Source organism: Homo sapiens, chromosome 7, assembly GCF_000001405.40.
Source record: "Homo sapiens chromosome 7, GRCh38.p14 Primary Assembly".
Lineage (NCBI taxonomy): Eukaryota > Metazoa > Chordata > Mammalia > Primates > Hominidae > Homo > Homo sapiens.
The window spans coordinates 45,753,988-45,771,268 of NC_000007.14; the positions used below are offsets into that span (position 1 = coordinate 45,753,988).

General features: G+C 38.6%; 2 pseudogenes across 8 annotated transcripts in view, besides 2 other annotated features; one reads left to right on the plus strand and one right to left on the minus strand.

Annotated features, from left to right (window-relative positions):
- SEPTIN7P2 (septin 7 pseudogene 2) overlaps positions 1 to 15,031 on the minus strand; it is a 45,232-nt pseudogene extending 30,201 nt beyond the window's left edge. The window contains exons 1-4 of the transcript NR_024271.1: positions 14,673 to 15,031; positions 5,087 to 5,187; positions 4,056 to 4,190; positions 2,922 to 3,005 (exon numbers count right to left, since the gene is read on the minus strand). The product of NR_024271.1 is annotated as a septin 7 pseudogene 2 (transcript). The remainder of the gene's footprint in view (positions 1 to 2,921; positions 3,006 to 4,055; positions 4,191 to 5,086; positions 5,188 to 14,672) is intronic.
- Positions 14,863 to 15,640: an enhancer, noted in NCBI's record as "H3K27ac-H3K4me1 hESC enhancer chr7:45808449-45809226 (GRCh37/hg19 assembly coordinates)". NCBI's record gives its function as "activates a minimal SCP1, AML or CMV promoter by ChIP-STARR-seq in naive and primed H9 embryonic stem cells {active_cell/tissue: H9 hESC(naive and primed)}" and the evidence as "EXISTENCE:reporter gene assay evidence [ECO:0000049][PMID:30033119]".
- Positions 14,962 to 15,321: an enhancer, noted in NCBI's record as "active region_25972". NCBI's record gives its function as "activates an Ori minimal core promoter by ATAC-STARR-seq in GM12878 lymphoblastoid cells {active_cell/tissue: GM12878}" and the evidence as "EXISTENCE:reporter gene assay evidence [ECO:0000049][PMID:35858748]".
- The window catches only part of GTF2IP13 (general transcription factor IIi pseudogene 13), a 36,002-nt pseudogene continuing 33,871 nt past the window's right edge, over positions 15,151 to 17,281 (plus strand). For all 7 annotated transcript variants that reach the window (XR_007060308.1, XR_242174.5, XR_007060307.1 and 4 more), the window contains exon 1: positions 15,151 to 15,480. The product of XR_007060308.1 is annotated as a general transcription factor IIi pseudogene 13, transcript variant X6 (transcript). The remainder of the gene's footprint in view (positions 15,481 to 17,281) is intronic.

Below are 17,281 nucleotides of genomic sequence, written 5' to 3' on the forward strand. Positions count from 1 at the left end.
ACTACAGGAGTGCACCCCCATGCCCAACTAATTTTTTTTTTTTTTTGAGTTTCGCTCTTATTGCCCAGTCTGGAGTTCAGTGGCGCAATCTCGGCTCACTGCAACCTCCGCCTCCCGGGTTCAAGTGATTCTCCTGTCTCAGCCTCCCGAGTAGCTGGGATCACAGGCATCCACCACCATGCCCGGCTAATTTTTGTATTTTTAGTAGGGACGAGGTTTCACCATGTTGGCCAGGCTGGTCTTGAACTCCTGACTTCAGGTGATCCACCTGCCTCAGCCTCCCAAAGTGTTAGGATTACAGGCGTAAGCCACTGCGCCCAGCCCCAACTAATTTTTAAATTTTTGTAGAGACAGGATCTCACTATGTTGCCTAGTCTGTGGCCTCAAGCAATGGTCCTCCTGCCTTGGTCCCCAAAGTGCTGGGATTACAGGAGTAAGCCACTGCATCTGGCCTGAACCTATCCATCTTTGAAAAAAAATTTAAGTTTTGCTTCTTTTCATTAATCATTATATAAAACACTAAATATAAATGCCATGAAATATTCAATCTCCGATTTCTAAATTGTTATGATTTTTCAATTTATACTCATGACAAATTTAAATTGTCACTGCCTTATTAAGCTATTATGTCAGATACAAGCCTGCTTATTAATCCAGTGACAAAAAAGCAGAGTTCAGTTAACCTAAAATTTTAATAAATCTTAAAGGCATTTAATATAAAGTATTAAAATCCAAATAAGAAGATTTTATCTTTAAATGCAAAATACTTGCTGAATATTTATTATAGTATCCCAACTTTTAAAGAGAAAGATATTTAAAAATAAACGTGACAAGGAAATTAGAGAAGTCAACTTCTTAAATATAACCAAAGGGTCAAAAAACATTTAAGTCAGTTTAGAAATTAAACTTTAGGAAAAAAGGTAAACCTTGTAAAAGTCTCATTAAATTTCAGAAGCCTACAAGACGTCAGCAACAGAAAACATTTAGTTCACATGTGTATTACATTCCGGTTGAATTTTTTCCCTCTGTCCATTTAGATTTATATTGGCTAGTCTTTTCATCAACAAATTTAGTCTTTAAATCTTGTTTTTAAGAAATAGAAAATCCTTTATCATTTCTAGAAGATAAACCCACAGTAGAGAGAAAAGACTATTTAGCCTCAAATTCTACAGCATAATAAACAACTACAGGGAAAGTGACAAATTTTTTTTGTATGTATGTATTTCTAAGGGAAAAAATCCTTCTGTATAAAACTCACTGGATGACACCAATTTTTCTAAAAGTGGGAATCAATACTAGAAGGATAAAACACCATTTTAAAATTCATGTTCCAAGTCAGTATTTTACTTTAATAACAGTTACAAAATAGTGAAGAACACACATGAAGCGATAATAGCCAAAATCATAAATCAGCCGTGCATGCAGTTCATACTTGGTAGAGGGAGGTAGGAGGCACTGAAAGTGCACTGTTGGACGAATTTATAATCACTCTAAAAACAAAACCCTCTAAAAAGGGAACCTAGGGACTACCTAGACAAGATGGAAAGGCTCTGATTCATTTACTAGACTGCATAGAATTTCAGTCTGTAGTGAGCAGGGTACCTGGAACTCTATACATAAAATTCTGTGTCATATTCTTTTTTTTTTTGAGATGGAGTTTCACTCTTGTTGCCCAGGCTGGAGTGCAATGGTGTGATCTCGGCTCATCGCAACCTCCACCTCCCAGGTTCAAGCAACTGTCCTGACTCAGCCTCCCTAGTAGCTGGGATTACAGGCATGTGCCACCACGGCCAGCTAATTTAGTATTTTTAGTAGACATGGGGTTGCTCCATGTTGGTCAGGCTGGTCTCGAACTCTCGACCTCAGGTGATCCGCCTGCCTCAGCCTCTCAAAGTGCTGGGATTACAGGCATGAGCCACCATGCCCAGCCTCATATTCTTTCACTTAATCCACAATATCATGTACCAATGGGCAAAACTTTGCTTCATTTCTAAAAATAGTTAAACTAAGAAATTATTCAAAGGTACATTTTTATATATAAGATATAGCAATTTTAAACATCTTACCCCTTGTGACAAATAAGAAATGGCACAAAGCCACTACATATCATTTGAATATAAAAATCTTTTTCTTTTAAAAAAGCTCTCATTTCCCATGCAATTTTAAGAAATAAAATTTTCCCCAAAGGGATGGCAGGAATGTGATTTCATGAGAATTACCCTAGTTGGAGAGAGTTCGGAAAATCTAAAATAATAAAATTGGTTATAAGCTAACAAATTTTATTGACTTAACTGCAGGTTAAGATTTCACTCTGCTGGCTTTCAGGAAAAGGCCCTGACAAGTTAAATGAGAATGATTTAAAAATATAAATTCAAGAAGCTACACAAATACTTATAAAAGGTTATACAGTGTGTTGTATTTTTGAGATGACTTTTTTTGAGCCTTTTAAGTCAAAGAGTCAGTTTAGTGATTTAAATATGTAAACTGAGAACACCATAAAATGATAGACTGGACTAAGAAAATGTGGTACATATACACCATGGAATACTATGCAGCCATAAAAAAGGATGAGTTCATGTCCTTTGCAGGGACATGGATGAAGCTGGAAACCATCATTCTGAGCAAACTATCGCAAGGACAGAAACCCAAACACCGCATAGGTGTTTCTCACTCATAGGTGGGAATTGAACAATGAGAACACTTGGACACAGGGCGGGGAATATCATACACTAGGGCCTGTCGTGGGGTGGGGGATGGGGGAGGGATACTATTAGGAGAAATACCTAATGTAAATGACCAGTTAATGGGTGCAGCAAACAAACATGGCACATGTATACATATGTAACAAACCTGCACATTGTGAACATATACCGTAGAAGTATACTACTACTACTAATAATAATAATAAAAACTGAAATTACCTCAACAAAAGGCAATGCCAGGTAGTTACAAACATGTACTACCCAATCCTGCCTGAAGGTGGGAGTCTTCAGTTATGTAACGGTCTAGGGCACAGCAAAAAAACAAAAAAAAACAAGAGTATTAGACATAAAAGAAGAAACATTTTTACCCCACTCCAATCTGACAGTGCAAAAATATAAGTATATAATTAAGGCTCCCTTATCCATCTACAGTGATAATGGGCATTGACCCATCTATAAAAACAAACAAAAAAAAGAGAGCGAGAAGCCAAAAATGGAAGAGAAAGGTATACCTGAAGGAATTGGTTTACTCTACTGTAATGTGAGTGTTAGATAACTTAATGCTATTTAGCCTGATGCTACTACAGTTCTTTTGGTGGAGAGATGGTGGAGTTACAATCACCAGGTGGCTGAATTATGTATGCTGAGTTACTTACCCAAAGGAAAAGACTGAGGAAGAATAATTGGAAAAATCTGCAGTTACAAATGACACATATATGTACTCAAAATGAAAGGGGAAGTACGAAGAACAAAAAAAGGGAGTACAGGCTAACTATAACAAACAGAACAATCACATCAGATTAATGTCTAGATTCTTAGATCTTATGTCCTAATAAACAAAAGGTTAGTACTGACAATATGATACTTAAACGACATGTCTATGACAGCTAAGGTGAAACAGAAGCCAAACAGATTTCTTGCAGAAAGAAATGGCACAAGAAAACATTGGCATGCAAGTGCTTTTGATAACCATCTCTTATGAGACTTATAATAAATAGCATCTTTGGATTTATTTTGAATATGTCTAACTGGTTTGGCTGCTTCTCTTTATTTGGTAGTTCAACATGAAAGCTAAATTTGCCACACTGAGACCTCAAACCATGGTGGCAACACTGTTTATTTCCATGAAGCAGGGAAAATCCTCATGAATGAAGAACTAAGGAGTAAAATCACTGTTAGCTTACACAGGACTTAAAAAGGCTTTTCAACTAAGACATTTCTACATGAAATTTGGTACTTAATAATGGGTATAGTTGTATGTACTTCACAAACTTAAAGATTACTCAAATATGCACATAAAGGTAACAGTAAGCAACAACAACAAAAAGGAATCAGAAGTATCAGGTTACTGACCCATGTCCTGAAGGAGCAATGAAGTATAAACAACAGTGCACCCTGTTACCAGGCATCTGACATCTGTTCACTTGCGATTCTGCATTTAGGTAGTCCTCAAATTTACTATCAATGTAATTGATAACAGGCTGCCAGCTATAGAATGCAAATAAACAAAACAATTAAGTTGCAATTCTATATATGAATTAACTGATGACTGTTAAAGAACAATAATCAATATTTTCAAATAGGCAAAATGAATTTACCAATGGAAGACATGTCAAGTTATTCTATATAAAGATTCAAAAATATAAATTATGTTGAATAAATCTTTATTATTTCAAAACTTTCCAAATGAAAGAAAATATTTATTGTTGAAACACAGCTAAATTATTAGCATATTACTGGCACTAGTAAGTGTATTAATAACACACTTCATAATATGAAAACAATTATATTCAGTTTCAAATTTCAAATGAGAGATTACTTTAAATAATATAAAAACTTCATGATGAACTTAGGAGTTTTAAGAGTTGACAGAAAAATACCTCAAAAACAATGTGAATTCAAACAAAAATAAAAGTTATTTATAAAATACTAAGATAATTACTTCAGACTAAAATTTCATAGTTGTTTTCTTCACTTAGGACTTATGGAAAAACTGAAGGTCTAAATATCAGGTTTAAATTAGGATTGAGATAGAATTTATACAAATGGATAAAATTAAAGCAAACAGTTTTAAATTTCTTACAATAATGAGAATTCTTCTATCTAGCTACGTTATTTTGGAACATGTCTTAAAAACAATTTTTATGATAGGTATTATCTCCATTTTATAGAAAAGTAAATGGGTTCAAAGAAGTTAAACTTCTTTGTTTAACTTTGAAGTTAAACTTTGTCAAATAAGTGGCAAAGCTGGTATACAAACCTGTCATGTTACTTGAAGTTTGGTGACCTTTGCTAAGAAGAGTTTTAAAATGTTAAGAAGAGAAAGTTTAACCACCCCAGTACCCCAAATACACTGGAAAGTTGTGAGGACAAATCCTTCTTACCAATTACTATTATCCACTGCATCTCCAAATCCTGGGGTATCAACTATTGTAAGCAGCAACTGAATACCACCTTCTTTGATTAAAACTTTGGATTGTTCCACCTATAAGAGTAATTGGTGCAGATGTTAGTATCATACATTACACCAGTGATTTCCTACCAGGGGTGATGGTAGGGATGTTTGAGTTTATCTACCTACTCCCACATTTTCTTTAGGATCAATGATTGTGGGCATTGGGAATCCAGATTATTTGAAAGAAAAGCGTATATACAAATAGTATGCCAATCTCTTGGAAAATTAATACTGGGTTTATGAGTCATACTTGGTATAAAGAAAGACAGAGGAACTGATAAAATAGTGATCACCACTAAAGACATGTAATACATAACTTAAATGTGCATCTAATAATACAAATAAGCAGATTGAGTGATTCAGTCATTCACAGAGTTCAAATGTAATTAATCAGGCAAGAACATTTAATCTACTGTTTATAGTAAATGTCTTCCTGGACTATTCTCTATCAAGTTTGGCCCAAACCACTCACTCAAGTGAACTTACTATCATTCCTAAATCTTTCTCAGCATGGATGTAATTACCCTTATATTTATGTTATGGCTAGGATCCAATCCTCTTCTCAAATGCGATACTCCACATTCTGGACAATGTAATCAGCAAAAGTCCAGACAGTTAATAAAAAAAAGTGTATTCTGGTAGGGTGAAACCTTACTGATTATTGGACTTAAATGATAACAACAGTTCCTGGAACAATTTAAGATATTCTGTAACCTCAAGCTCTGTATCAGAAGATGTATTATCATTCATCCTGGGCATATGCTGCTATTAAATGCAAAGTATCAGTTTTCAGGAGCCCAAGATAAAGCAAACACGGATTCAAATAAAAAGGGAATAATTCCTTCATAAGATAGGCTTTCTCCTGATACATATTTATATCAAGTCCTTATTAAGGCAAGAGGCTCCAAGTATGCTGATAAGCTAATTTACAAGACAAAAAGTTTGGGACACTTTTACAGATAGCCTATTTCCTTTTGGCATGTTTTATAGATGCTACCTAATGCATGAAGAGACTAACATGCGGAGACTAAGATTGCTGAGCAAGAAAAGTCTGTAGCCACACTATCCAATAACACTTTCTGAGATGATGGAATTGTTGTGTATCCACACTGTCCAATATGGTAGCCACTTGCCCATGTGGCTACTTACTCCTTAAAATCTGACTAGTGCAAATAAGGAACTGATATTTAATTTTATTTAATTTGAATTAACTTAAATAGCCACATGTGGCTAGTGACTACTGAATACACAGCAGAGGTCTATAGCAATCAAGAGTTTTCTGTTAAAAGAATTTTATTATCAAGAATAAAACTTATAAAACTGAAAAAAATTGCCTGAGATGTGGACATGCATGACTTATCTTTTAGAGAAATGAGATGCCAAAGTCTTATCTTTTAGATTAATGTTCTTGAAACTGCTTTGATCCTGATACAAACTATCAGTGAAAATTTTGCAGATCCAAAAGATATTTACCCACCAAATATATATTATTGGCAATCTGAATATTAAGTATTAATATGTATTATCATTTATCTGTAGATTAAAAGTAAACATCAATAAATAAGAGTTGTAATAGTTTCTGATCATCCTCAGCATCAGTGATGGATGCACATCATTTAGAAGATCACTGTTACATACCACATAACTAAGATAACATGTCTATTATCAGGTTACCCTAATAACATGAGAGAGGCAAAATGACTCAGAGAAAACAATCAGATTCATCAGTGTGAAATCATGAGAACCAAAGGAAAAAAAATTTTTTTTTTAGTCAGGGTCTCACTCTGTTGCCCAGGCTGGAGTGCATGGTAGATCATAGCTTACTGCAGCTTCAAACTCCTGGGTTCAAGCAATCTTCCCATTTCAGCCTCCCAAAGTGCTGGGCCAAAAAAAATTTTTAACAATATCATCTTATCTGGTTTAGGTAGTTTACATTTTCTTTATCTGGTGATCTTCTAGTCAAAGGACAACCCAGTCAAATCTAACATCTCAATATCTTGAATTCACCTCCCTCTCCTTTATAAAGACAGATCATTTATTCATGGTAACTGTGGCTGAAGCAGAAATATCCAAAGTAATTATACCACTCCTTTACGTACTTACTCTTTTAAACAACATAGTACTGTATTCTAGAAAGTGATACAACAACATAGTTAATCTACATGAATCATCTCCCAATTTTACTTAAAAATATTTCTGGTTCCTTTATTACCAAATGAAGCCCATTCTACCTTCAGTAATATGCTGTATACCAAATACACATTTTAACCTAACAGCTTAAATTTTAAGATATTTCCCTGTTTAAAAAAAAAAATCAGTCCAACAACTTAATTACTTATTGACTTGCTAAGACAAATGAAGATTTGTATTTTACACACATAAGGAATGTTTATAAAGCTTCTTTTCTTCTCTGGCCTATGAAATTCTGTATGTCCATACATGGTCAAATACAAAGAAGTCAGCGACATATGGAAGAGATCCAGAAAACATAACTGTAAACTAGTGCCATTCACAGGATCCAACTGTATCCTATCATCTGCTTTTACAAGTATCCTCATGGGATCCATGGAAAACAAATTAGTTCAAGTCCAAGAATTTCAAACTTTTCTAACAAATCTATTCCAAATGGTCACTTTCCCACGCACTTCCCTTAAGCAGGTCACATCAACATCTTTTATGGCATCACTCAGGGTTCTCTAAGATTAGCTGCATCATCTAATACCAAAAGAATGAATCAAGGGCATTTTCAACTGTTTTTCCCTGAAAAATAAATAAAACTAAAACTATCGTCTATGAATCATCTATGTATAATTCATCTATTGAGACCTCTTTTGGAATCTGAGATTCCAGAAATCCAAGGTACTCATTTTCTAATACTGAGTGTATACAGTATACAAGAGTATTAGTATACCGAGTTTTCAGTTTTACAATCTGAGGAAAAAAAGTCAAACAATGTTGATTATACAGCTTCATATACACTAACCTTTTCTAACTTAATGTTTACGTGCCATTTATTAAGGTAAATTAAGAAGTTATTTAATTAAGCATATAACATTTTGAAGAGAGGGTTAACATTTTCTTTCAAGAGCTTACCTCTACCTACACTTGCTCAAGAGGTAGCATTACAGCCAAAACTCTGAAGACATTGGAATGGCCTGAGATACTCCACTTAGCTCAAACACAAAAACTATCTATTTCCCTTATTTATTGGCTCAAAAGACAAATATCATCTTAAATATTTCATCGTGTTCCACAAGAAAATGAAAGAGGAAGTAACCAATAGTAGAACAGTTATGCCTAAAGAATACTTTCTTCTCATGAAGACCCAGAACTACTTTACTAAGAAGAAAGTTGATCCCAAAACTCTAATTTGGCTTTCTATTCTGAACCTCTCCACTCCTCATATCCCTGTCTCCTTACACTGAGCCTCAAATCCCTTGCCCCTCTTAATTTCTACTAGCAACCTCCTTCCCAAAACCTTTATTTCTTTCCCTTTCCAACTCAAATCCCATTCTGGATTAACCCATCTTTCTATTCCTATACCATAAAATTCATGACCTTCAACCTCAACAAGAATTTCTCTGCTAATATTCCTCTTATGTGCTCCTTAATCTCATGCCTCTCCCATTTCCTAATAGGCTCTTCCCAAGCCCGTGCCTGTCACAATGCTCAGTGAAGTACCTCACATCACCACTTAAAAATGAGACCATTCCCAGTCTGTCTGAATCAGCACTGTACCTTCCATGGTAGAGTGTGTGTGAAATTTATCTTTTTCCTAAAGCTAATTTCTCAATCTATTCTAGGAAACTGATTAATTTCCATTTTAGATTTATCTTGACAACCGTTTACACTATTTCCCCTATATCTTCAAGACGACCGGGCTTGGTAAGGAGCCAGCCAACTATTAAAAAGATTACATTCTCATTTTCTAACTATATTCAGGCTTCTTGAATGACTCTGACCCTGTCCGTAATATGGCATGTTCTTTCCTAACTGGGCAAAAGAGTTTACATTATCTTCAGCTAGTTTTCAGTATATAAAGGAATACACCTCCATGGTTCAATCAGGAAAGAGGACTTCTACAAGATTCTACTAAGGATCAATCTGGTTCTCAAATGCTACAGGTCTTCTTTTTGGTAAAGAAAAGATATTTAACAGTGGTGCACAGGCCTGTCTTAAAAATCCTACCAGAGATATTCTCACCTCCATTACCCCTTTGTTTTCAAGATAAAGAGAGTTTCCGAGAAGATATTCAAAACAGAAGAGGATATTTTTGAAGTGTTACTTTAAAGGAAGGTAAAATGGGTTTAGGCAATTTATTTTGAAGCTAAGCCAATGTAAGAATTCTAGTAAATTGAGGGCATGTCACATCTTTAACAGATGCTCACCTGGGGAGAAAATGTCTGCAATATCTAAAATGTAGGGGATTATTAGATTTTTCAAACTCCTATAAATCAGCAAGAAAATGACAGAAAATATTAAGATTACCAAAACACTTTAATGAAATCTGAACAGTTATTGAGTACAAAAGACATGTTCAACCTCACTAGAAATCAAATAAAATAAACTCAAATACCTCTATATCTTTATGCACACACAACAGCAATGAGTGCCTAAGTCTACTAAGACATACACAAGAATGTTCCCGTTAGTAAAAAACTGAAAACCCAAAGGCTTATCTACAATAAATAATAAAGGATATATACTGATACAGTCACACAATGGAGTATTATACGACGATGAAAAAACAACTACACCCAACATGAGTAAATAATACAGACATAATCTGCACTGAAAGAAAACAGATACAAAAAAGTATATGTATATAACGTTCAAGAACAGGCAAATTTATGGAGAAGGCAGTCAGTATGGTGTTTATCTTTGGGGGTTGTAATACTGAATGAGAGTGAGCACATGGAAGAAACTAGGGTTCTGGAAATGAACTGTATATTAATTTGGATAGTGGTTAGTTTTACCTTTCATATCTAAATTCATAAATACTTAAGTGAAGGTATTCATAACAGATACCCAAATTAAGATAGTTCAAAGTTCATTTTCTTACTTAGGTTTAAAATTTCCAATATTTATCACAAAATAAATAAGCATGTAGGATCAAGTTTTTAGAGTAGAATTTTGCAGGTAATTTTAAATCTCAAGCCCTATGAAGGTTACTAAAAAAAAAAAAAAAAAAAAAAAAATTCCTAAAATGGAAACATTAAAAAGGAGAAATAAGATATTTACTTCACAAAATTACTCCTTTGGGGTCTTGCAGTATGATATGTATGAGTTACTGCTCAGAATATATAGACTGCCCTACTATCCTGTGCACTGGGATGATCACTACCACTTCTTCAAATCCAGCTAAAAGCATCACGGCCTCAATGAAGCCTACTCCCGCCAGAACTGTTCACGTGCCTCCTCTCTGCTCGTGTCCTATATATTACCTAAGCAGAGCTCACCAACAATATTTTTCATTAACAGCTTAGAGCAGCGCTGCCAAATAAAAATACCATGTCAATCATGTAAGTAATTTAAAATTTTCTTAGTAGCCACTTTTAAAATAGGAAAAAGGTGAAATCAGTCAATTTTATTTAACCCGATACATCCAAAATATTATCACTGCAGTATACAATCAATATAAAAAATTACGGAGATTTTCTTTTCCATGCTCAGTCTTAGAAATCTGTGGTATATTTTATATTTGCAGAACATCACAATTCAGACTACCCACATTTCAAAGATTAATAGCCACATGTGGCTACAGGCTGCTGTACTATTTAATAAAAAGTGCATATCTAGAGTCTAGCCCCTTGCTTTATAAAGTGTGATCTACCATCCAGCAGCATCAGCATCACCTGGGATCTTGTTAGAAATGTAGAAAGGCAGCCCATCTCAGAACTACTAGAAGAACTAAATTTAACAGGATACCCAGGATTGGAATTCATAGCAAAGACTGAGAAGCAGTAAATTAGATCACATATACCTTGGGAGTCTTACAGAATTGCTATTGCCATTCAACTATGATATGGTATTATCCCACCGACTAATATAGAACACTGTATTTAAATAACAATAGCTTTTCTATGAATCATGTTTTCTCTACACTGTCCAATGCAATTTTCTACAATGATGAAAATCTTCATATATGTGCTGCACAAAATGGCAGCCACTTGCCACATGTGGCTGTTGAGCACTTGAAATGTATCTGGAGCAAATGAGAAATTGCATTTTAATTTAATTAATTTTAATTGATTTAAACATGTGGCAAATGACTATCATACGACATAGCACAACTCCAGGGGAATTGGTTACTATGTCACAGTGTCATCTCTAGGAGAATCCTTAGGACAAATTTGGAAAGTTCTAGTCAAGATAATTCTTTTGATTAACTGTACTTCTTCTGTTTTTTTAATTTTATGAAGTCATATTTACCATCTTACACTGGCTAAGGGCAAATTTGCATCTTACCTCTAAGGAAGCATAATAAAAGTTACAACATGTGCTTTGTGTGTATTAATATTATTCCAGCTTATCATCAATTAAAAATACTAATATCTAGACCTGTACAGTCTTTTTAATTCTCTGAGAAGGACCTGGATACTCTGGAGAATACAAATCTGTGAGGAATAATGAGTTGATTAATGTCAACTTTCCCAGTCCAGATTCACCTAAAAGAAATAAGGGAAAATATCTGTTAAACTCACCCACTTTACCCAACCTTAAATATTCAACAGATGCTATAATTGAACTTGCTTTATGCAAGTATTTCTTGGTGAGACAATGAAATGACATTAGAAAATACGCTACAAAGAATAAGTATCTTGTCCTCAGTTTCTTAGCTATCAAATTAAACTCACGTTTCCAAGGATTCTTTTCAGCCTTCTAATTATACCACTTATATTCATTAAAAGTAATGTATCTAATAATCTACATTTTTAACAGTAATGTATTCCCAAAGAAAAAAGTCAGTCATTATTTAAAAATCCAAGTTGGATTATGTATCACTGCTTCAGTGAAATAAAGTTTTTCTTTATTAATAGACAATAATGAATGAATAATAAACAAGAAATCATGCAGCTATAAAAAGCAAAAATCTGCTAATACAAAGAATAATTAATCACAATGAACATCTCCGTATAAAATTCTAAATCACAAAAAATACTTTCTAATTTCGCCACCCATCAGCCTAAATATAAGGGTGCTTCTCCACAAACCAGAATCCAAAAAATCTTAGGTAATTACTTTTTCTACCGCTTCTACTCAAGGTAGGAGGTAGACACGAAGGAAGCTAGGGCATGATTTCTACTCTGACCACATACTCTTTTTTGACTCTCCATGTTTAGTCCAATATACATAGTCCAGTGTATAGTAACTATTACAAGTATACCAAAATATAAATGGCTTCAAGGTATATATAACCTAAGGTTAAAACAAATTATAAATCAGATTATGATAATTAACATGGCACAGAGTTAAAGTATTTATTGTTAATAACTCACTTAGCATAATAGGCATGTTTAGCCTAAGTAACTGATGTCACAATATTTTTATGCCTAGGAGGAATTCTTTTTATATTAGCTCTCAAAAGAGATAAGATTCTCTCCACGTGGTTTGGGCTTACCCCTTTGACTGAGAGCATGCCACTTTTTACTAGAGGTTGATGTATGACTCAACTTAGAGTTGAGGATGAAAAGTGGGGATCATAGCACCTGCCTATACCCTGGTACAGATCATATGATGTTGATTTATTTATTTGTGGAGTCAGGGTCTCGCTGTGTTGCCCAGGCTGGAGTGCAGTGGCACGATCATGGCTCACTGCAGCCTTGAACTCCTGGGTGCGGTGGTGCGCACCTGTAGTCCCAGCAACTCTGGCAGGCTGAGGCAGGAGAATCGCTTGAACTCAGGAGGCGGAGGTTGCAGTGAGCCGAGATTACGCCACTGCACTCCAGCCTGGAGACAAAGTAAGACTCCATCTCAGTGAAAAAAAAATTTAAATTAAAAAGTTCTAGTATCTAAAATGAGCAAAATCGCCAGGCGCGGTGGGTCACACTTGTAATCCCAGCACTTTGGGATGCAGAAGTGGGTGGACCATCCGAAGTCAGAGGTTGAGACCAGCCTGCAGTGAGCCGAGATTGCACCACTGCACTCCAGCCTGGGAGACAGAGTGAGACTCCATTTCAAAAAAAGAATTAGCCAAGCGTGGTAGCATGCACCTGTAGTCCTAGCTACCGGGGAGGCTGACAGGGAAGGATTCCTTGAGCCCGAAGGTCAAGGCTGCAGTGAGCCTTGTTTGCACCACCTCACTCCAACCTGGGCAAAGACCCCATCTCAAAAAAGAAAAAAAAACACAAAAACAAAAAACAAAACAGAACAGAACAGCATCACTTCCTTATCATTAGTTTGAAGGAAGTGAATTGCCTGTAAAACTTTCCATTTTCAAAAAAAGTATTAAAATATAGTGTAAAGCCAGGCACGATGGCTCATTCCTGTAATCTCAGCACTTTGGGCGGCTGAAATGGATTGCCCCAAGAGGTCGAGGCTGCAGCTGAGCGATCCTCCCGCCTCAGCCTCGCAAGTAGCGGAGACTACAAGTGCATGCCACCATGCCCAACTAATTTTTTGTATTTTTGTAGAGACAGGGTTTCACCATGTTGCCCAAACTAGTCTGGAACTCCTGAGCTCAAGCGATCCACCCGCTTCCGCCTCCGCCTCCCAAAATGCTGGGATTAGGGGCGTGAGCCACCGGGCCTGGCCCAATTACTTTCTTCAGTCTGAGCATGAGGGCTGGAAGAAAAGCTCTCACTTGCATATAATTTTTTAGAGACAGAGTCTCCCTCTGTTACACGGGCTGGAGTGCAATGGCGCAATCTCAGCTCACTGTAACCTCAACCTCCCGTGCTTGATCGCTTATATAATCTCAGCTCACTGTAATCTCAACCTCCCGGGCTCGATCGCATGTATATACACACATATATTTGTTTGTTTAGACGGAGTCTTGGTCTGTTGCCCAGGCTGGAGTGCAGTGGCGCGATCTCAGCTCACTGCAACCTCCGCATCCCGGGTTCAAACAATTCTCTGCCTCAGCCTCCCGAGTAGCTGGGATTACAGGCACCCGCCACCAGGCCCAACTAATTTTTGTGTTTTTAGTAGAGACCGGGTTTCAGTGAAACCATGCTGGCCAGGCTGGTCTTGAACTCCTGACCTCGTGATCCACCCGCCTCGACCTCCCAAAGTGCTGGGATTACAGGCGTGGGCCACCTCGCCCAGCCGATCGCTTATATTTTTAAAAAGATGTTTTCTTCGTTTCCTAGCCCCTTCTACCCCGCTACAAAGTTTCAAAGACTTAATGCTATTACAAAGGGCCGTCAGACGTCAAGCTCAGGGGTGCAGCTCCCTCATGCCGGGCAGCCTCAGAGGGGGCCGACCCTGCCCAGGATGAACGGCGCCAGGTAGCCGGGGACGCTACCGGGAGTCCCCGGGCCCTGGCTGGTGGAGGTGTTGTGGGGCGCACGTACCCAGGCTCAGGTGAGGCGAGTGGGCAGCCGGGGCTGCAGCTGGCGCTGGCCATTGAGGAGCTTCTGCGCGACAGTGCGATCGGTTGCACCTTCTGCGACAGGGGCCGGCCGGTTGGCGCGCAGCGCCTGCTAGCGCAGAGTCTGGCCCTTGCTGCGCCCGGCCCCGAAGACCGAGAAGTCGTAAAGCTCCTCCTCGCAGTTTATGTGCGGCGGCGGCCGGGCCGAAGCCTGGGGACACAGAACTGCCAGCTCAGCAGCCGGTTACATCCCGCCCGGCCACCCGTAGCCAGCGTCCGCTAATGCGCGATCCTGGAAGACCCAGCAACCCCGCCGCGAGTTCCGATTGGCTCCGCGTGAGTGGCGGTCTCCTGCGAAGTCACAAGAGCGCGCCTTCCGTGACGTCACAAGGGCGCGTCTTCGCCGACACCATAGAGGTGGGCCTTCCGCGACGCCACAGGAGCGGGTGTTCGCCTACGTCACTGGGGCGCTACAGTACCTGGAGCTGGGCAGTCTTCTCATCAGAGTGGGGACTAATAACAGTGACCTCCCCGCCAGGTCCTGTGTGTTGCCGGCTGAAGAAGGGTAGCTGAAAAATTCAGACCCAGCACAGTGTTTATGTTGGTCAAAAATAGAAAACTATGTCTGGCGTGGCCGAGGCGGGAGGACCCTTCAGGCCAAGAGCAGCCTAGCAACATGGCGCAACCCCATCTCTGTAGTCCTACCTCAGACCCCCAGCTACTTGAACCCAAAGGTTCAAGGCTCCAGTGAGCTATGATCCCACCACAGCATTCCAGCCTGCGAGATTGAGGTAAACCCTGTCTAAAAAAATTAAAAATCTATCCAAGTGTGCAACAGGGAGGGACTACTAAATAAAACATGAGGCTGGCTGGGCCCTACTGTAATCCCAGCACTTTGGGAGGCCGAGGCGGGAGGATGGATGGCTTGGGCTCAGGAGTTCGAGACCAGCTTGGGCAACATGACGAAACCCCGTCTCTACAAAAGATACAAAAATTAGCCGGGCGCGGTGCGCACCTGGCCTAATTTTCGTATTTTTTTCTAGAGATAGGGGGAGGGCCTCGCTATGTTGCCCGGGCCAGTTTCGAACTCCTGAGTTGAAGCGATCTTCTCACCTTGGCCATCAGAGTTGTCGGGATTACAGGCATGAGGGACCGCGCCCCACCTGGGTTAGGCTACTTAATAACATAAGAAAGTGCTCCGCCAGGCTCAGTGGCTGACGCCTGTAATCCCAACACTTTGGGAGGCCGAGGTGGGTGGATCACCTGAGGTCAGGAGTTGGAGACCAGCCTGGCCATGGTGAAACCCAGTCTCTACAAAAAATACAAAAATTAGCCGGGCGTGGTGGCGCATGCCTGTAGTCCCAGCTACTTGGGAGGCTGGTAAAGGAGAATTACTTGAACTGGGGAGGCGGAGGTTGCATTGGGCCGAGATCGCACCACTGCACCCCAGCCTGGGCGACACAGCGAGACTCCAAAGTTTGACACCAGCCTGGGCAATGTAGTGAAACCCTGTCTCTACAAAACAAACAAACAAAAACCCAGGCGTAACTGTGTCCACCTGTGGCCCTAGCTAGTTAGGAGGCTGAGGCAGGAGGATCACTTGAGGCCAGGAGCTCAAGGCTGCAGTGAGCTATGGTAATCCCACTGCTTCCCATCCTGAGCAATAGAATGAAAGCATGTCTCGAGATAGCTAGCTAGCTAGCTAGATAATTGATAGGTAGTTTTGTATCAAATTTTTTCCCTAAATTTGAACATGTTTTTCTAAAGTAGCATTCAACACGTCAGCATTTTACAGTGTTACTAGTTATTAATGTGATTATGTTTTTGTAAAGTATCCTTTACAAAAGCAGTTTTGTCTTTCAAAGCACACAGATAAGGCCCTCAAGTGAATTTGTCTGATGTTGGCGACCTTGGTACCATTTTGTCCACCTGATTGGAAAAGTCAGTCAATAATTTCAGGTCACTGTTGGCCTTAGAAGAAGAGCCCAAAGGCAACAAGCAAAGGCGCTGGTGTCCAGTCGCCTTCTAAAAGCATTTTCACTTTCCCTTAAGGTTTCCCTTGATGAACATAGAAGTATTGTATGTAGAATTGACCCAGTGCTGCCCTGGCAACTTTGTATATTAGGCCAAATTTACATTTCTTACTAACTTTATGAGAGGCACCCTGGTAGGCTAGTGGAGTTACACACACAGTCTGATTTCAGCTGCACTGTCCAGAGATGCAACACGGTCCAATCAAATAACATTCTCTGAGCCTGTTTCTTTAGCTGTAAAAGAAGAATAACATACCCATCTAAAAAGGCAGCTTATTGTATTTGATTGGTCTTTTATTTTCTATGAAACTGTGTTTAACACAGTAATTATTTTCATTTGTATACTACATTTGTGTTGTGTTTTTGATTTTAGTTTTGTTTTTGAAATGGAGTCTTTTTTTTAGTGGTTTTTTGTTTTGTTTTGTTTTGTTTTGTTTTTGAGATGGAGTATTTCTATTGTCACCCAGGCTGGAGTGCAGTGGCATGATCTCCGCTCACTGCAACCTCCACCTCCCAGGTTCAAGTGATTCTCCTGCCTCAGCCTCCTGAGAAGCTGGGA